General features: G+C 39.5%; 2 long non-coding RNA genes and 1 pseudogene across 5 annotated transcripts in view; 1 reads left to right on the forward strand and 2 right to left on the reverse strand.

Annotated features, from left to right (window-relative positions):
• Nucleotides 1-20111, reverse strand: part of MSRB3-AS1 (MSRB3 antisense RNA 1) — a 175556-nt gene extending 155445 nt beyond the window's left edge. For 3 of the 4 annotated variants that reach the window (NR_120431.1, NR_120433.1, NR_120434.1), the window contains exon 1: nucleotides 19778-20111. This is a non-coding gene — a long non-coding RNA (MSRB3 antisense RNA 1). Of the gene's footprint in view, nucleotides 1-4350; nucleotides 4425-19777 lie in introns of all 4 variants that reach the window. The other variant, NR_120432.1, reaches the window with a different exon arrangement.
• Nucleotides 35-7598, forward strand: LOC105369806 (uncharacterized). Its single transcript, XR_945028.3, has 4 exons — nucleotides 35-104; nucleotides 6595-6797; nucleotides 7059-7281; nucleotides 7420-7598. It is a non-coding gene; the product is annotated as an uncharacterized LOC105369806 (long non-coding RNA).
• Nucleotides 22050-24227, reverse strand: PCNPP3 (PEST containing nuclear protein pseudogene 3; annotated as a pseudogene).

The following is a 27188-nucleotide window of genomic DNA, read 5'->3' on the forward strand; positions in this document are numbered from 1 at the left end:
AAAGTCACATGGCAAAGCCCAACGGCAGAGATGAATGCCTTGTCCGCTGTACAGAAGCACTGCAGTTATATGACAAGGCGTGTGGATGCAAATGCTTTTATAGGGTGAGCACGGAGAATTGAGCCTAGTATTCCAACCTACTACTTGTGAAAATTAAAATAGAAAGAAATTGTTACTTTTCTCTAAAATTGGAAATTAAACTATTGAATTCTCCAAGATGCCTAGATTAAGACAAAGCTTTATTTAAAATTTAATTTTCTGAATGCCTTTGGTTTTCTTGTATAATCTAGTACAGTTTAGGTTATTTAGATACTCAGTAAATACTTGAGGGATTCATAAATGCTGTGTCCACTAAGTAACTACTCCTTTTGTAACATTAGTTCATTCATCCATTAAGGACTATTTATTGAGTGCTACTATGTGCCAGGCACTACAGTATTTATAAGTGAGGGAAACACATCAATGTTCAGAAAATAAAAATGCTGCCTGTATGGAGCTTATGCTCTGACAACATATTTTTCTTTAAAAAGAAAAAATAGTAAGCAAAACATATTGTATGTTAGTATCTGATATACGCTTTATACAAAATCAGGCTAAAAGAATTAGGAGGACTAAGGTGGGGACAGTGACAGGCTACAGTTTTTCTGTAGTGTAAAAAAGGGGTACAGGGTAGATCTTACCAAAAGTTGACATTTGAGCAGAGACTTGAAGGAGGTGAGGGATTTTTCCCTCTGTTCCACATGTAGCCATAGAGATTCACGAAGGGTCTGCAGCCAGAGAACATTTCAAGTATAACTCATGGAAAGGGGGTGGTGGAGGGGCCCTAACAGGGCAGGGCTTGGGAACAGCCTCCACCCCCTGACACCCCAACCAGAGTACTCCCAATTTCAGCTGTTAGATTTAGCCCTAAGATTTCTTCTGAGGAATATCCTACCTTTAAAAAATAAATGAATAAATGCCTTAGAATACTATGCTAGTTTGTGAACTCATCCAAAGTCAAAGATCTGGCTTAAGATCTTGATTAAGAACATTGAAAAGTGTATTAATAAAATTTATTTATTTATTAATAATGGCTCAATTTCTTAATAGTCAACTGCCCCAGGGCTTAGTCTGAGCCCTCTCTCCTCCTTATATTTTTTCCTTAGATATTTTATTCAAGCCTTAAACACCATCTATATGCTAATGACTCCTAACTTTACATCAGTCCTGACTCTTCAACAGGACTCCAGACAGTTCCCCTTGGATATCTGATGAACAATCTCAAACTTAACATAATCGAAACAAAACTCAGGATTCTTCCTCCTCCATCACACCACTACCTTTTTAATTGTCCTTATCTCAGCAAATGGGGCCATCACTCCTCCTATTCCAGCACATGCATCTCCATGTCCAAAATATGTTGTATATCATCTCACTTCTCTCCACCTCCACTCTTGCCCAAGTCCCATTATCTCCTGTGACAACCTCTCATCTGGTTTCTGTTTGACAATTGATTATTTATGATGTAATCAGTGATCTTTTAAAAATATATATCATGTCACTCCTCTCTAATGCTTTATATGACAATGAGGATAAAATCCAAACTTCTTGCCATGGTCTACAAAACCCAGCATGATCTGGCCCATGAATATGCCCTGCATATGTCCCTGATCTCTTGCTGTTTTATTTGCCTAGAGAGCTTTCCTCCCCCACCGGTCATATTTTGAGATGGTTGGTCTCCACAAATGATCTGTGTCTCAACTTATATGTCCACTTTTCAAAGAAGTCTTCCCTGACCACCCAGTCATCTCTATCACATCACCTTTCATACTACTTATCACTGTCCCCAGTTATTTTGTTGATTTATTTGTTTACTTGATTATTGTCTATCCTCGACCATAAGAATATAAGCCCCACTGCAACAGGGGTTTTGCTGACATATTCCAAGAACCTAGAACAATAACTGACATATAATAGGTGCTCAAAAAGGATCGACCAAATAAACGATGACTAGGATCAGTGCTTTTTCAGAGACTAGGTGTTATTAGGAAAGTGGAGAGGGTGCCATGGCATTGAGTGTTTGTGGAGGTGGTGGTATGGTGATAGGAATTTTTGGCTTCAAAGCAAGGCAAAAATGGAAAAGAAATGGAAAGTTAGAGAAACAAATTTTCCCTGCTGTGCAATTATAATTGAGTCTGGTCCCAGATTTTGGTCTTCTTCACAACTCAGGCCCATTTAATCTATTACTGTATCTGCTAGGTTCTTTGATTGCAGACAAGAGAAACTCACCTCTAGACACTTAAGAAGAGAAGAAAAGAACAGAAAAAAAGGTTTAGAACTAACACATAGAACAGAGGTGAAAACACAAGTACCAGGTCTTAGTATAGGAACTTGAGTAGCTTCAAGGAAGTTGGGCCAGGAACAAATGGGACATTTTCCTGAGGCCACTGAGGTTAGGATAAAAGAAGTGCACCAATTTTCACTTTTTGGCACTTTGCCAAGTTTTAGTTCTGGGGCAAAAATGTCTGACATAGCTTGAGTCTTGAGCCTACCCAAGGATCCAGGCATGGAGTGAGCGCCCACCACCATAAACCCAGTGGACTGTTATCAGAATAACAAGTAATGGATACTAGACAGGCAAATACAACAGCTTTCCACTCCATTCCAGGAAATATCATGGGGTGAGGTGTTTCATTTTAGAGGGTTATAATCTAGTTTGCGAGGAAATAAAACTAGAGGTCGCTTATGTCAATGAAGGAAATGTATTATTACTGGGAAAATAAGGCATCCTTCCTGTTAACCAACGAGAAAACTAACAGATTTATTCCTAGACATGCATTTTCTCTCCTGAGGCCCATTTTAAGGATAGTGTTTCTCATCTTCTGCAAACTGTCAGCTGGAACAGGACCTCTCCTACCTTCACAAGGGCATTGCTTATCGCTAACTGCAGAATTTCCTCTGTTCTCACCAAATTGCCAGATTTTACTTGGCCAGCCACTAGGCCAACAAAATTAAGTGGTAAATTAAATAACTCTGACCATAAGCCTCCAGCAATTCACAACCAATTTCGGGGTGTGTGTGTGTGTGTGTGTGTGTGTGTGTGTTACGTGGGAGTGGGAGGCTGGGGAAAAGGTAGGGAAAAAAAGGAGAAGAAAACTTAAGGATAAGTCTCAACAATGTAAAAGCAAAGAGGATATCTCTATGGTGAAAACATATTCTTTCCCCTAAAGCTTATGAATTAGGGGGCAATTTGCCTAGTTGGAGCTACATTTTGAACTATGAGCTAGAATTTGAATTATAATTTTGAGTTATGATTGCTCACATAAAATTCATCTTTATGGCAATAGATATTAATTTATATACCTATTTATTTCTTTAACAAACATTCATTGTGTGCCGGCAGTGTTCTAAGCATGACTGAGGGAGATGGATGTGTTTCTTGCTCTCATGGGGCTGGCAGGGTAATGGTAGTCATGAGGCAGGTGAAATAAACAGCAGCTTGGAAGGATCCTCCTTGTTAGGGGATGAGTTGGGGTTGCCATTACCTTCTGTCGGAGAAAAAGAATATGAAGCCTTCAAAAATAAACTGGGCTTCAATGAGAGAGAATGCTATACTTGCTAATCAAGATGGAAGCGTGCACCCAGAAAACGAAGGGTTCAGGACTAAGAGGAGTCAGAAGTTCCTATGAGACTGGCTGGGAACAAGGGCTGGGTGAGTGGCGAGAGAAGAGCAGCTCAGCGCAAATCCAAAGCCAGAGTCAGGGAGCATAGAAAAGAAGGAATCCTTCCTACAGGGATCTAGAGCTAAGTGGGACACAGCAGGAACAGGGCCAGGTTTGATGGGCAAAATCCCATGTTCATGACCAAATTATAAATACAAAATCAGGTTTGAAAGTGTGTGTTACTGTAGAAAGAGAAATCACAATCCATTACACATTTTTAAAAGCTGACAAATACCCCAAATCTGACAAAATCCAGAAAAAAATATAGCGGCTGCTCTAATTAACTGCCTGGCATACCCCTATTACTGCTTGATGCGCTTTTATACTTATTTTGCTAAATTTTTTTTGATTGTGCATTTATTGGCCATTCACTTCTTTACAGGAAAATGACTTTGTAATGTAGTTATCTATACAGTGAACAGAACAATAATTCATTCTTTATTCTGGCATGAATGATTACAACTTGGATTTTTTTTTTTGTAATTTTTGTTGGTGTTGACTAGGTATAGATCTAGTCACTCTACATATCTGAAGATTGGAAGAACTTTCACAGACTAGCTTCTGGCTTTGTGTATTTCAAACCTTGTTTCTCCTCCCCAGTCCCTATACTCCTGGTCCCAGGCTGATATGGTACAAGATATATACTTACCATAGGACTTCTGTTTATGCACCTTTGTGTCAGCAAAGTAGGTGGTAGGAATGTTGCTGGAAACCATTTGAACACTGAGAAGGATAGAAATAGCTTAATCCTACACACAAAAAAGTGCCTGTGAACCACAAAAGTACATCCCACTAGGCCTAAATTAAAGTAAACTTCCCCTTAGCTGTATGCTAAAAATGCCCATGGCCACTCCAGTACCACTGAATGTTAGGGAGAGTAAGACAGAGTGGAAGTTGAAGTAGAGAGACAGTGATCTTAACTGATTATAGTTAAATATTGCTTTTCACAAATTTTATTATCCATGTGATCAGGTGAACACATTGCATGAGCCCCTCTGAGGGCCTTGGAAAATCACTGTGCAAGGGAAGGGCCTTGAAACTTGTCAGGCTCTGGAGCAGGCTTTGGTATTTAAGAAATCTCAGAATAAGACTTGGAAAGAAAAAAACAACAGCAACTCAGAATAACAAAAGGGAACTGTAATCCAAAGTGTTATGATCTGAGAAAGAGGTCTGCTACCTAAAAGGGAGGAGAAATTAGTGACATTTTGGAAAGGTTCATAGAGTTCCCACCAGGGCCAAGATTAGCCAGAAGGCCTGCACTTGGACTCAACAGTGCATAGCATGTTCCCAGGAAACCCTGTATCAGTTATCTGTTGCTGCATAACAAATCATTCTAAAACATAAAGGATTAAAACAACAATAAGCATGTATTATCACACACAGATGATACACATATTATACTTCTGAGGGTTAGGTTCTGGGAGTGGCTTAGCTGGGTGGCCCAGGCTCACTCTCACATCTGGCAAGTTAGTGCTGGTTGTTGACCAGGTTCCTCACTACATGGACCACTCCACAGGGCTGCTTGAGTGTCCTTATAACATGGCAGCTGGCTTCCTCAAGAGTGAGGGATCCAAGAAGTAAGGTGGAAGCCTCAATGTCTTTCACCACCTAGTCTCAGAAATTTCACTGTCATTTCTGAAAAATTGTATTTGTTACACTATTCAGCTCCATTCATTGTGTGAGCGGACAACACAAGGGTGTGAATACCAGGAGATGGGGATCAACAAAGGCCATCTTGGAGACTGGCTTCTGCTGACCCTTTGCACTGTAATGTAGTTTAACTTTGTACAGCAGCAGACAAAAATATGGAAATACTGTTCTAGCAAAATATGGAAAAGACCTAAGATACCAGGAGCTTGTGTCTGTGTGGTTGGGTGTTGCTGGGGGTGGTCAGGGGGAGGTCTCCAAAGATAGCCCTTGGCAGAATTCTGACTTACGAGAGGCAAAGAAATAGAAAGAGAACCTTTATTTCATAGATGAGCATCTTGGACATAGAAAAGGAAAGTGAATATTCCAAGGCCACATTGCCAGTCAGATTCAGAGGTGGCAGAAGCTTGACTACTCCTAACAATGATAATTTAAGTACTAGAGTATTTTCCTCCATACCAGGTACTGGCCTACATTTTCTGTGTATATCATCTCATGTAATATTTACTATAGCTAAGGAAGTGAAGGCACCAAGAGGTCTAGCAAATTGCTCATGGTCATGTAGTTAGTCATGGTAGAACTGGCATCTCAACCAAATTCTGTCTGGTGTCCAAACCCCCTTTCTCCACCTCCACATCCCACTCCTTCCAAACCTTCCATTCTTTTAAGCCTGCCAAGTTATCTCCTTTCTATAATCCTTCACCCTATCTTCCCTGACATGCCTCATTCCCATGGAGAAGTCTTCTGTTTGGGGATAGCCTAAGGGGCCCTGCTTTATCAGAACTCCCAAACACCTTACAAATTACTCAACATAAGTATGAACACAGTGAAAACATAAGTAGAATCCAGAAGTAAAAAGTTCTAAACATTTCAGGCAAACAATACCAACATGTGTGTAATATACGGAAGTTTAGCTTTAAGTTTTCAGAGCAAAACTTGGAAGGAGGCTCCTCTCCAAAACAAGACCCCCACCCCAAGCCAAGTATTCTAACACCTAACAGCCAAAACTGATGGAGCACTACGTGCTTGCCATTGTTTTATGTGCTCTACCTCTACTGACTAATTCTAACTTTTATAATAGCCTCATAAGGTAGATGTACCATTATTATCTCCATTCTCCATTTTTATGCAATTTATCTGCAAGGTTACACACTAGGCAAGTGGTAGTTCTGGGATTTGGACAAAGTCTGGGTCGAGAATTCACGCTTGTGTGCAGTCTGCTCATCTTTGTCTTTTTTCTTTCAAGTCTGCTGTTGCCCTGGAGGTGCTGTCAGTGGAGTCTAAGATTTGGTTCCCTTGTTTGTCAATATTCATCAATCAGAATTCTTGAGCATCTGTCACGGTGAGGCACTGTGCTAAGCACTCAGCATAAATTGACTGAAGAAAACAGACACAGTCCCTGCCTTCCCTGAGTGTGCATTCTAGTGGGAGCAACAGACCTTAAATGAGGTAATAAATAAATTTATTTAAAGTTAACAACTCAACAAATAAGGATAGCTTAAAATTATAAGAAATGTTATGAAAGTAAAACACAGTATGCTCTCATAGATGATCCCAGGAGGATCTATTTAGACATGGTTCGGTCAGTGAAGTCTGATAGCAAATTTAAGCTGATACTAAAAGAATGAAAAGCTTTAAAATGAGATAAAGGAAGAGGCATTTCAGTTAAACATGGAAGACACAAGACATTCTTTCTTAACCTTTCCACAGACCTTTCTAAAATTGAGTATAAAAGGAACTAATGAGATAGAAACTCAGAAGGACAAAGACAACAGGTGATGAGAGAGAGAATTGTGACTGCAAAGAGTGAACATATTTTTGGAAGATAAAAAGTGGAAGGAGGAGTGAGCAAAAGTAAGAATGCTGTATACCAAGTGTGAGCAAACTGGATGCCAATGTCAAAGGAGCCAAGTCACAGCATCTAACCCCCCTAGTAAGTCTCAGCCATTGATGGTGCCTGGTCTGTGGAAGATAAGGGTGGAGTTCTGGGGAGGAATGAGGAGAATGGTTTGAAAGTCAGTATAAAGCACATTTAAACCCCTGGACCCTCTCTTCCCTCTCCTCTACCCAGGTCCAGGCAAGTGTTCCTCCTCACCCTGCCAGGATGCCAGAATCTTACTATTCTGTGGAGAAGTTGAACTGGAGTGGCTCCACAACCAGGATGCCGGCCCCAGAAGAAGTGGAGGTGCAAAAGAAAAGGGTCTGAGCACAAGTGTAGATATTGAAACATAAGATTTCTTCTCCTTCCGGGTGCGCCAACCTTATGGGTTTGGGTTATAATCCTGTGGTAGTATCATCTGACTTTTTAAAACTGTATTTTTTATTCCTTTTATAAAAATTTTACTCACACATACACATGCACACACACACGCACACATACATGTATTTTTTTTAAGAGAAGAGGAAAAGCGTTTCTTGCGGAGGAAACAGCCTGTGTGAAGATCCTAACCAGTGCATTCAGGGGAGTGGCAAAGAAGACCTGGCAGTGCAAGAGCAGCAGTAGGAGGAGGACATGGGGAGGATGAGGTTGGAGAGAGCGGGGTAAGAGGAGGACATGGGAAGATGAGGTTGGAGAGCGTGGGGCCAGATGCTGCGGGACCTTGAGGGCCATCTGAAAAGTCTGGGTTTTCTTTGAAATGTAGCCATGAAAGGTTTTTAAGCCATGGGTAACATGATCTTATTTAGGTTTAAAGAGTTACTCTAGTTGTATAAAGAATAGTTTGTCACATATTTAGCTGGGTCTTCGCATGAAAAATTATGTATCCCAGTACTTTAGAGCGGAAAGGACCTTCAAGATCATTTAGTCCAACCCTTTCTTTTAAAAGATAAGCAAACTAAGAAGCAGAAAATTTATGATTTGCCCAAGGTCACAGAGCTAATAACTATGTGAGGCTTTTAAACTAGGAGTTGCAGGGTGATAGATTATACTTTTAAGAAATCTTTCTACTCTATATTTCCTTTGGCCAGAAATGATGTCTCCCTTTTCTGAACTTTCATCTCACTTTATTTTTCTCTCCTATGGTGCTTACTCATTTATTACCTTGATCATAGTTCTTTGTGTTCTTGTCTTGTCTTATCTCCTTTATGAGACTATAAAAGCAATCCCTGGAGAGCAGGAAATATGGTCTTTACCTTACGTGTCTCTGTAGGACATTGCCTGTAGTAGGTGTTCAGTCAATGTTTGTTAAGTAAACAGATCAATGGACAGGTGATACGTGAGTGAATGAATGAATGAATGAATGAGTTCTCCATATGCTATAAATACTGAGTGTTTACTGACTGAATATGCACGTGTAGATTATACTCTCCCTGATTTATCATTCTAGGCTACTTCCTAGCTATGTTTTCATTCATTTTTCTCTTATATGTACATAATGGAAAGTGGTTATTTTTAATCAGAAGAAACGAGGTGGCCTAGAAAAATATCACATTTCTAAGTCAGGTAATTCTTTCTTCCAAGATTATCAGCAGGGAGAGCCTCTCCACACTCTCCCCTTCCTTCCCTCCCACCCTACTGGCTAGGTTTAAATGTTCTTTCTCAACACATGATCTTTTGGGAGCTTACTTCTGAATTTTTTTTTTAAAGAGATGACTGAGACTGCCCATAAGAAACTAACCAAGTGTCCGGGGTAAAACTGTGATATCACAAAGGAGAAAAATGTTTTACTTAAGGTTAAAAAAAAAAAAACACAAAAAAGCAGGGCTGTAACTATGCCCTCTCCAGCAGAGCAATATACATACATCCAATGAAAACTAATGCTGCCAATAGTGGAGAAAGCCCTGAAGGAGATTTGGGAGCCATGGGTGATGTCCCTGCCTTCGATATTGACTTGTTCAATGGCTCTGATAATTCATGAGCGCTCTCTCTCTCCCCTCACCCCTGCCCTTGGTTTCCTCATCCATAAAAGATACATAAAAATATTAGAAACAATTGGTCATAGGTCCAGTTTCTGCTACCACAAAATGACCCATTAATTCTGTCCATAAAATTGGTCAGACTGGTTTCAGGGATAATTGTTACATTTTTGGACTCACTGATTTGGCATCTTGCACATACATAGTCAGGCGCATGTTGAGAATCTTTGCCGGAGATGAGGTTATACAATGGATTTTGGCTCCCTGCATGAAGAAACAAGCTTCAGGGCATGCGATTTGATGATCTAAGGTCTCCACTAAGGCAATCGGCACTCAGAAGACAAACATGACTCATTGTGTGTGGGAACTCATTCCACTGTTCACAAACTTCGGTTTGAGGGTTGGGAAGGTCTGGAAAAGATTCTAGTGTAAAGCCTAATTCAGAAGGGTACAGATTGTTTTCTTTGTAAAGTGACACATGTCAGTATTGTGAAACAGTGGAAACTGGAAGGAAAATAAAATATTGTGTCGACTGTCACAGAGTCATCCTGCTGCCCCGGCTACAGACATCTCTTGCTTTCTACTCCTGTGCTTCACTATTACAATGAAGCCACTGTCCTCAGATAGTTCCGGCTGCTTCACCATATTAGTTATCTATTGCTAGGAAAGAAGCCACCCCAAAAGTCTGTGATTTAAAGCCACAACATTTTATTATTTGTTCATGAAATCTGTAATCTTGGTGGAGCTCAGCAGCAATGCTGCTGCTGGTCTTGCGTGGAATCACTCATGCAGGTGGCATTATGTAGAGTCTCAACTAGGCTAACTCTCAAATAATACAGAATGACTTCATTCCCATGCATGTCACCACAGCTGGGATGGCTGAAACAGCTGGGGCTGGTCCGACGTCTCTCCCTCCCTCTCTCTCACTCTCTCTCAGTGGTTTCTCCAGCAGTGCAGCCGACTACCATTACCTGGGGACCCCGGGCTCCCAAGAGTACAAAAGCAGAAACTGCCAGGTTTTCTTAAGGTTCATGTCTCAAACAGCCACAGTGTCACTTCTGCAGCATTCTGTTGGTTACAGCAAGTCATAGGCCAACCCAGATTCAAGGAGAGGGGAAACAGATCCCATATCATTATGTAAAGAGTGGCAAAGAATTTCCAGACACCTTTAATCTACCACAACCACAATTACATGGTCAGGTCTTGTGGGGTAAAGGAGCATCTAGTGACTTGCCCAAACTTCTCCCCTGCCACAGACTTCCCCTTGTTCCTCCTTGGATGCTCCCCTCTTACAATGCAGCCTTCACTCCAGGGCTCTGGGCCTGTTGCTTTTACTTTTCTGTCACTACCAGCCAACTTCTCTCTACTGACTTTCTCTCCACCTCATAGTTTTTGATTATTCACAGGCTCTGCTGCTCCATGGCATTATTGTCATATGGCTTCTACTGCTATAAAAATTAGTAGTGTACAGAAAAGGTTAACAAAGTAGGCCAGAGACTGCTAGCCTTAGGAAGACCTGCTTGCAAGGTTGATCCTTGACTGGCATCTAGCAACTTGGATTTTGAGGGGCGTATTAGTTAGGGTTCCCCAGAGAAACAAAACCAATAGGATATGTATATGTGTATATACATATACATATACAAATATATGTGCATATTTGTATACACATATACATATACTCACATATATGTATATATATGTGTACACAAATATACAAATGTATATATGTGTATATGTGTGTATTCAAATATACAAATGTATATTTATATACATTTGTAAATATATGTGTATATTTGTGTATATATATGTGTATACACATACACACATATATGTATATACACATATACACATATATGTGTATATACATATACAAAAGAGAGAGAGACTTATTATAAGGATTTGGCTCACATGATTATAAGCCAATGATGATAAGTCCAAAATACACAGGGTGGGCTGACAGGCTTGAGATCTAGAAGAGTAGATAGTGCATTTCCAGTGTAAAGGCTGGGGTGGTCAGATGTGGTGGCTCATGTCTGTAATCCCAGCACTTTGGGAGGCCGAGGTGGGCAGATCGCTTGAGGCCAGGAGTTCAAGGCCAGCCTGGCCAGCATGGTGAAATCCCATCTCTACTAAAAATACAAAAACTATCTGGGCATGGTGGTTCACGCCTATAGTCCCAGCTACTCGGGAGGCTGAGGCATGAGAATTGCTTGAAACTGGGAGGCAGAGGTTGCAGTGAGCCGGGATCACACCACTGTACTCCAGGCTGGGCAACAGAGTGAGACTGTGTCAAGAAATAAATAAATGAATAAAATAAAAAATAAAAAATAAAAATAAAGACTGGCAGGTAGAGACCCAGGAGAGCCAATTCAGTCCACAGGTGGCCTGCTAAGAATTCTCTTTTGTTCCGGGATGCCAGTATTTTTGTTCTATTCAGGCCTTCAACTGATTGAAGGAGGCCAATCCACATATTGGAGGGCAGTCTCCTTATTCAAAATTCACTGATTTAAATGTTAATCTCATCCCAAACCCCCCTCCAAGTGAATACATAAAATTAACCATCACAGGAGGGTTTTCATTATCCCCAGAAGTGATAAGAGGGCTCACTGTGCTTAAACTGTTTGTACAAGCAATGTGGTTCATGCTGGACACCTGCTTTCATGATTCCCAAAAGGAATAAGGAAAGGAATCCCCAGTCTGGAATTTTATTACATGCTAGGCAGAGAGTGCCTGTGTAATCAGCCCCCAGTAAAAGCACTGGGCACTGAATCTCTAATGAGCTTCCCTGGTGAACAACATTTCATACCTGTTGTCAGAACTTGTTGCTGCAGGAATTTATCGCATCCTGTGTGACTCCGATGGGAGAGGACTCTTGGAAGCTTATGTCTCGTTTCATCCAGATTTTGCCCCATGCACCTTTTCCTTTTGCTGATTTTGCTTTGTATCCTTTTGCTATAATAACTCTTAGCCCTGACTAGGACTCTGTGCTGAGTTCTGTAAGTCTTCCTCGCTAATTATTGACCCTGGGGATGGTCTTGGCAGTCCCCAATACAAGTAGGAAATGGGAAAATTATGTCACTAGCACAGGTCTATTCTCAATTGTTAATACAATTGAAACAAAGATGGAGATTATTTCATAATAATTAGAAGTCTTATCTGAAGGTAAGGGACTATCTATATGAGTGTAGCACTCTGCTATACACCACAGAATATTCAAAGGGTATATTAGGAACACAAATGAGTGGCCAAAGCTTTCTAGAGGGGGAGGGTTATTTGAATGAGTTGGAAAAAGGGAAAAAGGAGGTGGTGGAGCCCAGTGTTTGAGAGTTTGGACTCTGGAGACATGGCTGAGTCCTGAATAGCTGCACTGGCTACTTCCAAGTTGTTAATCAACACGAACTTAAAGCTCCAAAAGTATAACGTGGCTTAATAAAAATAATGACTAATACTTATCAAATGTGTATCACATCCTAGGAACTTTGTGTATTTACTCACTTAACCCTCATAACAATCTTATTAGGTGAGTATTATTTTAATCTCTATTTTGCAAATTCAGAAACTGAGGTCAGGAAAAAAGGTCCTGCAAATACTCACAACAGAAGAGTTTTGAGACGCTTAGCTGAGTCAATACATGCAATGCCCTTGGGAAATGTCTAGAGCATTAGAAGCATTCAACAAATATTAACTATGATCTTTTAAAACAGGAGGGGGAAGAGAGGAAAAAAAGGAGAGGAAAGAGAGAAGTTGGGACCAAGGGTCACTATATGAGCAAAGCAGAGGAATGGACCGTAGCAAAGTACGCTTCATGAGTAATGAGTGGAACGATGGGCAACAAGCAGTGAGTGAATCCTCCTGGGTGCCAGGTATTGGGCTAGGAACTTCAGCCCTGGGCAGCCAAGGAAGCATGCTGGATTGAAGAGTAGTAGGAAACAGGGAATGATTTAGAGGCAGCTGAATGTCATTTCAGCCCTTATCATCTAGGGCTGTGATTCTCAAATTGACACAACAGTGTCTTAGAAGCCATAGTACTATTTGCAGGCAATATGAAATAAACATATATACTCACATTAGCTTGTGGTCAGGATAAGTAGTTCAAGAAAAAAAAGGGAGAGATGTTTAAAATAGAACATAATTTAAAGAAATAAACTTTTTTATGTAAATCAGTGACACATCACTATTATTTGATTTTTAGTAGCTTGAGAACTACTGTATTAGGTAGTGGAGAAAGATGAATGGTTGGGAAGACAAATCTGGCTTAAGGCATAGAGTTAGGATGGAAGTTGGGGAAAGAAAAATGGCTAGCAAGCTGTAGCACTCATTTGAGCATTTACAAAATGCAAGTCAGACTCAAGGTGAGTTCATGAGTAATGAAAGGAAATAGATGAGTAGAAGATCAATGATGTAGGAAAAATGAATAGTATTTTATAGTATATAAAGGCCCAGGTTCAAATCACTTCATTAATTATCAGCTTCTGACTTCTCTGAGGTTGTTTCCTCGTCTACCAATGGAATTGAAAACAAATGGAATTGATAACAAATACTTTAGGGTGGCTGCTATGAAGATTGGAACAAATGAAAAAGTGAACGTAAACTGACACTTGATATATGGAGGCCAGTCTCATGTGATCCTCCTACCTCAGCCTCCTGAGTATGTGGGACCACAGGCATGCACTCCCACACCTGGCTAATTTTTGTATTTTTTTGGTAGAGATGGGTTTTCACCATGTTGTTCAGGCTGGCATTCTCTTTCTTAATGATGCTTGCCTGAATGTAGGAGAATGAGGAGAGAGGAGTCAAAGATGGCTACAAAGATTTGACCCCAGGTGCTTGGGGAAACAGATGATCCCATGGAAAGCAATAGGAAAGAGGCAAGATTAACCTAGTCCTGAAAGAAGATGGATTAGTTCCACTTTAGGAACACTGAATGAGGCCCAATTTGGCAAGTTTACTGTGCTGAAAAGAGAGCTTTTAATAAGTAAAGTAAAATTATAATCTTAGAAAAAGTGAACATATATTATTTTTTCCTGTTTGTCACATGTTGAATGCCCTTCATTGTCCTGTTATCTTTAACTGTAGTATATGGAAAGAATTTTAAAAATAGATTTAAGGGCTCTAAGAAGGGAGTCTTAGAGCCCAGGATAAATTGCACACAACTTGTGACATACGGACTACAATGGGGTTTTTATGTGCTAAACTGTAATTATCATATGACTGCTTAGATTTGCAGTGATTTATTTATTTAGTTAGTTAGTTTACTTATTTGAAACAGGGTCTCACTTTGTTGCCCAGGCTGGGTAGTGGTGTAATCATGGCTCACTGCAGCCTTGACTTCCTGGGCTCAAGTGATCCTCCCACCTCAGCCTCCCCAGTAACTGGGACCACAGGCACACACCACCATGCCTAATTTTTGTATTTTTTGTAGAGACAGGGGTTTTGCCATGTTATCTAAACTTGTCTCATGATTATGTGAATTAAAATGTACCACGCATGCATGGAAATAAACTCCTTTGCCCTTCTGCAAATAGATCATTCATGCCCAATTGGGAATACCACTTCAAATGGTACTACCATTTGGAATCAGGTAGTCTCAGCTTTGAATATGAGCCCTGTGTGCAAACTTGAATAAATTTTTTCAAATTCTCTGGGCCTGAATTTTCTAATATGTAAAAAGAGATAAAAATAAGACCTATTTTACAGGGCTCCTGTGAGAATTAAATGAGATTACATTTGGCACTCACACATAATTGGCTATCAATAAACATAGAGTTCTCCATCCCTTTGACCCCTCTATAATGGCGTTGAAGCTATTGGCTGCAGAAAAGATGTTACAGATATAATTTGAGAAGTTTTAGAACCACATTTATATTCTGGCTTTTGTCTTAGTTAATGCAAGGTGATGTACAAAGAAATAATCTAGTTAAGTCTGGACTTGGTGACTAAGTTCAGAATAGAAGTATTAATAAAAAGCATGCTCTGTTAAGTTTTGGTAAAGCACATACGAGGTTGTACCTGTGAACTCATTCTTTTAAGTTTTGATACTTTATATGTCTTTTTGTCAATAAGCATAATATTCAAATTTTCTAATTTAGAGACATTTTGCCACTTAAAATACAGAGTTGGAAAATCATGGGTTTGATTTATATATCCTTCGAAAATGTCAGCCATGCCTCGCAGCAACATAATAAAAAAATGTTATTGACCTAATGGCAGCCAAGTAACTTACCCTTTTGAAAATTAGCTTCATAAATAGAAATTCATAACACACTGGTCTCCCTGACCCTGCAGGTCTCCATGTTCCATGAGCACTACCTGTAGCACCTAGAATTTATCCCTGGTTCTATACCTGGGTTTACTTATGTAATATCGTCTTTCTCCCTGGAGCATAAGCTCTGTGATGGAAGGAAACGTATATGTCTATTTCACCACTAGTTCCTAGAATCCAGTGCGATGCCTGGTGCCTCATAGGCACACAATAAGTGTTTGTGGAAGGATGAAGGGAGGTGGAGGGAGAGACCTAATACAGTACTTGGAAATGCAGTCAGCACTTTAAAAAAGCTTGTTTAATGGATGGAGTAAGTCACATTTCCTGTTTTTCTCTTAGTCATATACTTTGTAGGACGGAACGAATATATCTTAGGCCACAAAGAAAAGTCTCAAAGTAAATGCATGAATACTAATGAAAACTATATTTATATTATAATACTAACATTCATTGAGTGCTTACTATGTACCAAGTACTATGTTAAGCCCTTTATATGCATTAATTCATTTAACTATCATAATAACACTATGGGAGAATTTCCGCTGGACACATGAAGAAACTGAGGCTCGATGTAGTTTTCTAAGTTTTTATAGTATAGCTAATAGTGGGAGTGGGATTTAAATCCAAGCTTGTCTGACTCCACCTCCATAAGGATTTGAGAGTACCTTACAGTGGTATCTAAGTTGTCACTCACAGCATAAGAACCAGATTAGTAGGGCCTCCTGGGGGCCCACATCTGCTAAGGGAGGCCACACCTGCTTAAGCACATGGGGACAGCCCTCCTGGGCCCACACAGCCCACACATGACAGGTGTCCTTCCAAGTGTCTAGCCACAGCATAGTTCAGAACTGATAAGGGTTAGGCTTTGTGTCCTCACCCAAATCTCATTTAAAATTTTAATCCCCATAATCCCCATGTGTCAAGGGAGTGACCAAGTGGAGGTAATTGGATCATGGGGGTGGTTTCCCCTATGCTGTTCTCATGATAGTGAGTGAGTTCTCATGAGATCTGATGGTTTTATAAATGGTTCTTCTTCCTTCGCTTGGCACTTCTCCTTCCTGCCATCTTGTGAAGAAGGTGCCTTGCTTCCCCTTCACCTGCCACCATGATTGTACATTTCCTGAGACCTCCCAGCCATGCAGAACTGTGAATCAATTAAACCTCCTTCATTTATAAATTACCCATTCTCGGGCAGTTCTTTATAGCAGTGTGAAAACAGACTAATATAAGAACCAAAGAGGTATGTGGCAGAAATAAATGGTTAGGCACAATAAAGAAAGTTTGCCTTCAAAGAAGACCAAAACAAACACAAATCTGGAAAAACAAGCTGGATCCCAAGGGTCAGGAAAGTGCTGGGGGCAAGTGTAGCAGGACAAGCCACAGACAAAACCCCTCAGACACCGAGTTAAAGAAGGAAGCGGTTTATTTGTCCCGGAGCACTGTCAAGATTCCTGTCTCAAGAGCCGAGCTCCCCAAGTGAGCAATTCCTGTCCCTTTTAAGGGCTCACAACTCTAAGGGGGTCCACTTGAGAGGGTTGTGATCGATTGAGCAAGCAGGAGGTACGTGACTGGGGGCTGCATGCACCAGTAATTAGAACAGAACAGAATAGGACACGGATTTTCACAGTGCTTTTCTATACAATGTATGTAATCTATAGATAACATAACCGATTAGGTCAGGGGTCGATCTTTAACTACAGGGCCCAGGGTGTGGCGCCATGCTATCTGCTTGTGGATTTCATTTCTGCCTTTTAGTTTTTACTTCTCTTTCTTTGGAGGCAGAAATTGGACATAAGACAATATGAAGGGTGGTCTCCTCCCTTACAAGTGCGTTGCTATAAAAAAGGGCCATGGGAACTCGCTACTGCGGTCTCAGAAAGCTAAGGGAAGGCATCTTGGGTCAGAAGATGATTGAGAAAACACATCAAGAAAGGACCTTCTATATAAAGCATGACTCTTTCTTCTTCGCCCCCATCCTAATCCTATCCCTATACCAACATATGCTTTCTCTCGCTCTCTCTGACACACACACACACACACACACACACACACACACACACACACATACACCACTGCTGCTAACATGTTCTTACATGCCTGAGGTTGCTGGCTTTTGCTGTTCATGCAAACATCTTTAGAAAACAAGGTTAAAGTGTCTAGATCTAGGACTGAACTAACAGGGCTCATGTTTCTGTCTCCATCTTGAGAGCAAGAACATGTACTCCATGTCTTTTTTCTCTCTCTCACAGCACCTATTACTAGATACCATATGCTCTGCACGTACTTGGCACTCCATAAATGCTTGCTGAATGGCTGACTTTCCCCGTCTCCCCCATCCTTTCCTTCCCACCCCAACAGCATGACTTTAAAGATCTGCTGCAGAGCTGTGGGGCGAGGTTTAAGATCCGTTTTGACAAATAACCCTTATGGGTGTTTAAAGCCAAAAGATCGAATATTTAAAGCAGAAATATGAGCTGTGACTTCATGGGTGTTCTGTGAAGAGATGCATAAAGCTGTACAAATAGATAGCCTTTCAGACAGGACATAACAGACCCAGCTTTGTGCATTTGCAAATATACAGAGGAGAAGAGCCCAAACTTCATTTTCAACCCTACATTTCCTTCTGAAATCAGTTTAAATAGGAGAGTGAAGGTAGTTAAATCCTCTATCGTTTTAAAAGGAGATCTTACGAATACTTTTGGCTTTAAAAGCTTATGTCACTGATTCATAATGTAAGAGGTGACATTAAAACTATCCTCCACCCTCTCACCACCATCACCACCCCCAGACAGGAAAATGCAGGCAAAAATGAGACTGGATTCCCTGGGAGTGGTGGGAGCAAATTGATTGCTATTTAAAAAAAAAAAAAGAAAAAAGCGGGGGTGGTGCTTTTAGACTCCCAGGCATGAGATCTTGGTGCTGGAAAGTGTTAAAGGACTAAAGCAAGGATCTAGAGTCAGCAGTTGGTTGAAGGAACACAGCAGGATGCAAGCACATGATGGCTCTGGTGGATGACTTCATGAGGGTGTAGAGCGTAGAACAGAAGAGAGAATTAGTCCCAAGAGAGAAGTCAGCATGCTCTGAGCAGGCCTATTGCTCCATTGGTCGCACTTTCTCTAAAGGATGTCCAGAGTTCCCTGGCTGCTTAGGTTAATACAGCAGAAACAAGAGCACACCCTGCCGCTTCTCTAGCTCCAGCTCTGACCATCCTGTGTTCTCTTAAAGCAGCTGACTTGAAGAAAAAGTGAATGTCTTGAGCCCTTGGCTCTTACACCTATTCTACGAGCTAGAAGTGATTTCGGCAAGTGGAATCAGCTTGATACATATCACTTTTGTTTTAAGTACAACTACATTAAATGGAGCTATGTTTGTCCAGTGGCTGAAGAGGTTACCTGGAGCTAAGGGTTTGTAGAATAGTTGCACTCAAATATATTCAAGTACCTAGCAATAAAAATTAAATTGACCTTAAGAACTCTTGGTTATATTACTAATTTGTACATGCCTAAGATCAGAAGTGTGTCCTGTTTCCAATTCATCCTTTGTTTCCATTTCGTGTAGATATAAAACAGATCAGTAACTCTGGATTCTATAGAAAACATATTTGTCTAAGGTTATTGACCAGATAACAGAAATTTGGATAAACACACAATGCCTTGGTTTTCTTGATAATGTGTTACGTTTACAGAGAACCTTCTCATTCTCTTCTCATGTGACTCTCAAAAATCTCTAGAATGGGAATTATTATGACTCGATTTTACAGAGGAGGAAATAATAGAAACTCAGAGAATTTTATTCAATTGTTCATTTGTGCCACCCTATTCTTTGGGACCCAATTTTGTTCTGGGCAATAGAAATGTAGAGATGAAAAAAAAAATAAGCATGGCCTGTAGAAGTTCACCATCTATTATGTAGAACACATAGGTAAACAAAACATAGGCATGTGATCAGTATTAGGTTAGGCAGATGGACTAGATACAATGATGGAAAATGGAAAGAATCACCAAATTTGCCTGGCTGTGAGTGAGTAGTCTTCTCAAAGCTGGAAACCCTAGAGGTAGGATTGTTGTTGTTTTTTTTTTTGAGATGGAGTCTCAGTCTGTCGCCCAGGCTGGAGTGCGGTGGCGCAATCAAGGTAGATCTTAATAAGAAAGAATTTGCTAGAAAGACAAAGCATAAGGTGGAGGAGCAGCAAGAGGTAAGGCACAGAAGCACGGAACTGTGTGATCAGTTCAAGGAATAACAAGCAGTTCAGCATGGTTGTAAAGTAGAGAAGGAAGGAAAATGAGAGTGTTTGCTTTAGGAATAAGTTCACCTGTGATGATCAAGGAGGTTCTGGGTTGGTGAAATGAAGTCTTCAGGAACTTGGAGTTGTTCGGTCTTGTTTCAACACACATGGCCTCTATTTCCAAGATCTCTTCATACCTCCAAATGGCTGCTCTAGATTCACTCACCATATCCATATTCAGCGCAGCAGGAAGGGGGAAGGGAAAAAAAAAGGAAAAAAGACACGCACCAGCTGTCTTTTAAGATTTACAGGAGCTGCTGCAAGACACTTCTGCCTACAGCTCCTTGGCCAGAGCTGGTCACATCGTCACACCGCCTGCTGAGGACTTTCAATAGACTCTGTTATGATGATCAATGAGCTCAGTTAAAAATGTGTGGTTATATTAATAAAGAAAAATGAGAGTATGAAATTTGAGGACAACTACAAGTATCTGCCACTGAGTGAAAAGAGGAAACTGATCATAAAGGATTACAAAGATCATTGAATTAACTATGAATCATTGCTTTGAAGCTCCAACTTTGCCCTCTGGCCAATGGGGAGTCACTGAAGGGTTTTGATGGAGGACTTTGGATGACCACATTTCCATTTATCATTAGGATTGATGACAGACTGTAGAGGGTAAGATTGGAGACAGAGAGACCAGTTAGGAGACTGTTATGTTGATCTTGGTGAAAGATGATGGAGGTCTCAACTAAATAGCAGTAGAGAGATGGGGCAAAGGAAAGAAAAGGCAAAACACCAAGATCGTTACTTACCATGCTAGGTAAGTAGTAAGGGGCAGAATTTGAACCCCAATCTTTAATGCAAGTCCATGTACCATGAGATTCATGTGTTTTTTAAAAAATGTTTTAATTGACAAATAAAAATTGTATATATTATGGTGTACAGCATGATGTCTTAAAATATGTATACATTGTGTAATATCTAAATCAAGCTAATTAACATATGCGTGACCTCACAAACTTATTTTTTATGGTGAGAACATTTTACTACTACATTTACATCTACTGTCTTAGCAATTTTCAAGTATACGTTATTATTAACTATTATCACCAAGTTGTACAATAGGTCTCTTGAACTTATTCCTCTTGTCTAACTGAAATTGTATATCCTTTGACGAACATCTCCCCAATTCCAACTGCCCCCATCCAGCCTCTGGTAACCACCATTCTACTCTTTACTTCTATGAGATCAACTTTTTTCACATATAAGTGAAATCATGTAGTATTTGTCTTTCTGTTCCTGGCCTATTTCACTTAACATAATGTCCACCAGGTTTACTCATGTTGTGCAAATAACAGGATTTTCTTCTTTTTAAAGGCTGAAGAGTGTCCCATTGTGTATATATTCCACACTTACTTTATCCATTTTTTCCACTGAAGGGCACTTAGATGGATTCCATGCCTTGGCTATTGTGAATAATGCTGCAGTGGACATGGGAGTGCAGATATCTCTTTGACATACTGATTTTATTTTATTTGGATACACACCCAGTAGTGGGATTGCTGGATCATATGGTAATTCTATTTTTAGTTTTTTGAGGAAACTTCATACTGTTTTTCATAATGGCCATACTAATTAATAGTCTTACCACAAGTGTGCAAGAGTTCCCCTTCTCTACCTCTTGCCAATACTTATTATCATTCGTCTTTTTGATAATAGTCATTCTAACAGTTGTGTGGAGATGAGACTCATGTTTCTTAATCAACATTATAGTAAGCTGGATTTCAAACTACCACAAGCACTTTGCATCTATGTCATGTTGTGGAAATCAGATTTACCATGGTCCAGACCCAGGAACTAAAGAGTCCAAAAGCAAGACAACATTTGTGACACGATAACATTTTGAGATATTTTGTATTTTCTCTGCCTGCATTCAAGCAGATAGAAGACCCTGGGCTCCCTTGTCTTATGGGAGGTCTGAGACAGGACTTCCTGGGTTTTATTCCTAAAAGCCTAAGCACATGCCAGAGGAGAGAGTTTGAAGAGAGAAAGATTTTATCCAGGCTAGGAAGACAGTTTTCTTTTTCTTTTTCTTTGCAAGACAATTTTATTACTTGTAACAAGTAAGGAGAACACAAGAGATAGTTCCCAAAGCAGTGTCTGTCTGAGCAAAGGGCTGGGTCAGGTTTTATAAGCATAGGGTAATGAGGCATGATCTGACTGGATCTTGCAATGAGGTGATGCCAGAAGCATGACCTGACTGGATCCTGCCATGGGGTGATGCCAGAGCTCAAACTGATTGGATCCTGGATCCTGCCATGTGAATCCACCTTTTTTTTTTTTTTTGAGTTTGAGTTTGAATTTGACAAATTTATTGGTATTTTGGTAAAGACATTCATCTCAGTCGTTTCTCTCTCCCAGCTTGACCTTAGGTTAATATTTCATTTGGGTCAAGAAAAGAATATGTAGGAGAGCTATGTTGCTTTAACAAGAAAATGGACAAAAATGGATAGTTTGCCTCATTAAAGTAAGTTAAATTCATGCATCTTGATATAATGAAATCATATAAGAACTAAGAGTTCTATATATATTTCCATTGTTTTACTAGGGGCCTATTCTAAACTTAAATGCTAGTGAACAAAGTGTTAGGAATATACACAGGCTGCTTCTCTAGAGTTATTACCGATTAAAAGAGCTCAGCAAGCAGTTACCACCAATAAAACAGTCTGAAGCTGCCTCCAAATACAATACTGTAGGAGTTTTCAAGGAAATTTTTATACTGTATGTTTCTTTTGTCTGTGACAATGCTTTTAAAGATGTGCTTGTTACTTTTTTTTTAAAGTTCATATACAATACAAAAATACAAAAACAAACACCCTACAATACACAAATCTAACAAGGTATATGTGGTAAGATTCCAAAAAATGTTTGAAGATGCATTTCCTTTCCTTCTATTTCAGTATCTAAAATGTGCTTTTTGAGAGGCCATTGGTCAATATGTATACATTTAAAATAAACCATATAATTTTACTAGTAAGAAAGCCAGTAGTTAAGTTCAATTCAAATTGGATTTCATATTAAATCCTTAGACAAAGTTACAGAAAGTGCATCTTCTTGTTTTCCATCTTCATACAATGTTAAATTTTTTTTTGGTGTTTATACCTTGTAAAAAATAAAAACAGCCAAATACTTAAGCAATATGTACATTTAAATTTTTGGTGGTGGCTTGTATTTTAAAAAACCGCCTCCTTATGATTTGTGTCAAGTTCTGGTGAAAATGCTTACAGGAACTAGCTAATAAACAAAAAACAAGAGAAGCAAATTGAAAATACTGATTTACTTTTGTAGCAAATGGTTTTTCTTTGAGGACTAATGAAGATAGACAAGACCCATTAAGGTGAAGTGGGCTATTTCAAATATTCAACAGTTTACATTTTTAAAAAATTCTTTTAAGAGCTACGCGTCTGTATCCACTGACAGCAATGCAATACCTAATTTATGATGATTTGAAACAAAACAAATGCCTATAAGGAAAAAAAGCTATATTTTAATTTTATCTAAATTTACTTTCAGTCAATAGTTCAGTAGCATTTTCCTCCCAATACAATACTCCTCTCTATAAGGCTGTTCCTGGGAGCCAGACAAGTTTAGGTAATAAGGGAGTTAAGAGAGTAAGTGCTTGCAGTTTTAAACAAACAATAACTTTTTGTTTCCCTCTTAATGTGCTAATAGTTGTGTCTAAAAAAAAATGCAATTCTTAAAAAGATACCATTTCTGATTTATTTATTATCTGTAACCTTTGGAAACTAATCACATGAAACTACAAAATTAGCAAATGTCTTGAAATCTGTAGACAAAACATAAATTACCTCTAATTTCAAACTCTCATTTATTAGTGTACCACTCAATCTTTTAAAAAAATGAAAAAGAAAAAAAAAGCGGCTCCAAAGATAGTCTTATACCATTCTTTAAAAAGAGAAACTGTTCCTTTTAACTTTACACCCATCCCACACCCCAATTTCAAAACATCATTTAATTGTCTTGGTCATGGACATTTCCAAGATGAGATTTTATATTTTGCCCCCATAGTTTCTGGTTATCAGAAAACCCATGCTTTCCTTTATTGAAGGAGTTCGGTCCAGCTGATGTTGGTGTATCCATCTTCATCTTCATTAAGAGCTGCTGCTACTGAAAATTTTTGGAGCCAAGAGTTGGAACAGTTTCTTTAGGCTTACTTGATCCAAGTTTGATGGATATGGCTGACGCTTTCTTTGTCGTCTACCTAACGCAAATCCAAAGTTGGAGATCTTTGTAGGCTTTGTTGGGAGGTCTGCAGCTTCTTCACTGATCGCTTCTCAGAGCTGCGACTGGAACTTTCCCCTCCATTACTGGAAGAAACAGTTTTAGCTTTCACAGGTTTTTCTGCTTCTTCCTCAGGTCCTCCGGTAGCTCCAGCTCGCTGCGACTTTTCAGGCTGCTTCTCTCCCCTCTTCTCGGCCGCCATTTTCCCCACCACGGCCTCCCTGGTATCCACTTCTTAATTCAGTCCAATAATAAAAAAAAGAAAGAAAGAAAGAAAGAAAAAAACCTACAAAACAATTTCAAAATGAGGATCTTATATTCCACTAAATGATATTTACTAAAAGTTTAAAATACAGACATTTTCAATTTATAGAAAGACACAGAGTTTAACTCCCAAGTACCTTTATTGAACAACATCAGTAGAAAAGAAGGTGTTTATTACTTGGTGTTTAACAGAAAATACATTTATTATATGTTTAAAATTTCACATAGATGAAATATTTCTATAGCTTTCTCCTTTGTTTTTATAAACTTCTTATAAAACATATCTTTCAAAATAAACAGGATAACTTTATGTATTTATATGTTTCAGAAAAATATATAAAATGTGGGAAATAAGTGGCATTCAATATATGTTATTACATGGATATATGAGTAAAACAAAATGGTACTCTACTATATTATATACAAATAATGCATTTTGCTTTTTTTGAAAAATAAAGGATTATGATCTTGGAAATCTTTTTCCATAAGTAAATAGAGAAATACACCATTTATTTTAGATGTCCATGATGATTGAATTCATAGATATATAGTAGTTGCCTTTCTGCAGTTTTAGTTACCCACGGTCAACCACAGTCTGAAAATATTAAATGGACAATTTCAGGAAAAAAAAAAATCAGTCCACTAGCCTCCCTCTATGCACTTAGGTTTTGCCTGTGGTTGCATACCTGGTTCATCTGGGCCATACTCAGGTCATGTGACCTTTAACCTGGCCAAGCTCATCTCTTCAGCAGCCGCACAGCATAGTGAGCTAACCAACTGCGGTCAGCGTTTAATTGGGGATGAAGCTTGATCTTATAGAGGTGCTCTGCTTTTAGAACATCTCTAAGGCGCCTTTTCCTGGCTCCCTTTCAGGAACACGCATGCTCGCAGAAGCCATTACAATCCCGTCGTGCAGCAGCCTGTGCTATTGACCAGCCTAGAAGTCATTTTTCGACTCAAGGGGAGAAGGGTGGGTTTCTGCTCTTTCCTTGCACCATCTGAAGGACACGGCAGAAGATAAAGGAAAATGGCCATGAGATGCTCCAGCGGAGCTGGGTCCAAGGCCTGGCGCTCACCAAAGATTGCACTACTCTCAGCATGGTACAGGAAGACAACTGATGGGACAATGCAAGCTGGGACAATCTCCAACCCAAAGGGTATCTCAGAAAACAGCACTAGGTGAGACCACAGCACAACCCCAGTCAACCTTTAAATCAGAAAAGGAGCTGGAGGATGCAATTCATTGATGTATAGAAAGTTTTAAAAAGTAAAAACTGAAATACAGAAAACAAAGTTTGCAATGTGTAAGAAATAAAGGACTGAAATTTGTACCTACAACTCAGCCCAGTAGTGGAATCCTGTTTGACAACGAGGTTTTCTTTGCCTCAGGGAAGCATAGGGAAGCTATGGGGGAAGCAAGAGGAGCTCTAGAATGTGTTTTGTGACTGTCCCCTTTCCTTAATTTTGGTTCTGTGCGGAAACAAACACAGACTAAGTCTATGTATAGCCATATCCGCTATTCACTTGTAAATGTTCCAAATAATTCAGGTAGCCTCTCAGAAGACACTCCAGCATCACTTAGCTGGATATTTCAGGGCAACTCATGTCATGTTTGGAAATATCCAGATAATATTCTAGTTGTCATCTAGTTTTTTCCTTCACCAAAAAAATGCTCAGCTGGACGTGGTGGCTCACGCCTACAATCCCAGCACTTTGAGAAGCCGAGATGGGAGGATTGTTTGAGCCCATAAGTTTGAGACCAGCCTGGGCAATATAGTGAGACTTCATCTCTACAAAAAATTTAATAATTATCTCAGCATAGTGGTGCTTGCCTGTAGTCCCAGCTACTCGGGAGGCTGAGGCGGGAACATGGCTTGAGCCCAGGAAGTCAAGGCTGCAGTGAGCTGTAAAGGTGCCACTGCACTCCAGCCTGGGCAACAGAGTGAGGTCCTGTCTCAAAAAAAAAAAAAAAAAGAAAAAGAGAGAGAGAGAAAAGAAAAGAAGTGCTCAAATTAGAATCTCTGTATATACAGTATTTATCTAAACATTCTCATATATGTAAAATTCCAGGGATATTGACATCATACAGAACAAGCATACTTTGCAAAACCAGCATGCTTCTTCTATTTAAAGCAATATCCCCTGGGTGTGACCTGAGCTTGTAAAACAAGTTCATTATATTTCCTTTCTGGAGACAACATGTCAAACCTTAAATATGGCTACTAATCAGAAGTTTAATTAAAAAACTTCAGCCGTACGATGAAGGAAGTTATATTCACCAGGGTTGAGAATAAATGGTAATGTTTTCAAAGTCTGAGAAAAACCTATATTACTTGCCTTACTCATCTACTTTGCTTACTACAAGCCCCTTTTATCTTATTTTCATATTATTTAATTTTCTCCCTGCCTGAAAGTAGCTTTAGTCTGTCTGAAAAAATATTATAATCCAAAAAATGGCAAGGAGAATTCAACAACAACAAAAATAATCAAAGCCATTCATGGTTCATGTGCCCAGATGAAGTTGTATTTATGGAACAGTCTTTTTTTCTAGAAGTCCAATGTGTAAATTAAGTTGCACCAAGGCAAGTCAAATTATTCCCTGGCCGTTTGTAGTATGCAATGTTTTATGTGACTTTTTACCCTCTTATTCAATGAAACAATACGTACTTGTATAGCAGCCAGACGAAGCAGTGAGTCACAGTCATCTAAGAGATGCCAAGTACTGTACCTCCTTGAGGAAACACACTCACCATGTGTAATGAGGACTCTCTGGATTTCCTGAAGTGATTCAACATAAATTGAATTCAACATTGAACTGAATAACCATAGATGTTGACAATCACAAGATCGGATGTACTAGAGTACCACTTGTCTTTGTGTAACTCCCACTCATTTATTACCAGTTAAGAGATGCACCCCTATTAGTTGG

Source organism: Homo sapiens, chromosome 12, assembly GCF_000001405.40.
Source record: "Homo sapiens chromosome 12, GRCh38.p14 Primary Assembly".
Lineage (NCBI taxonomy): Eukaryota > Metazoa > Chordata > Mammalia > Primates > Hominidae > Homo > Homo sapiens.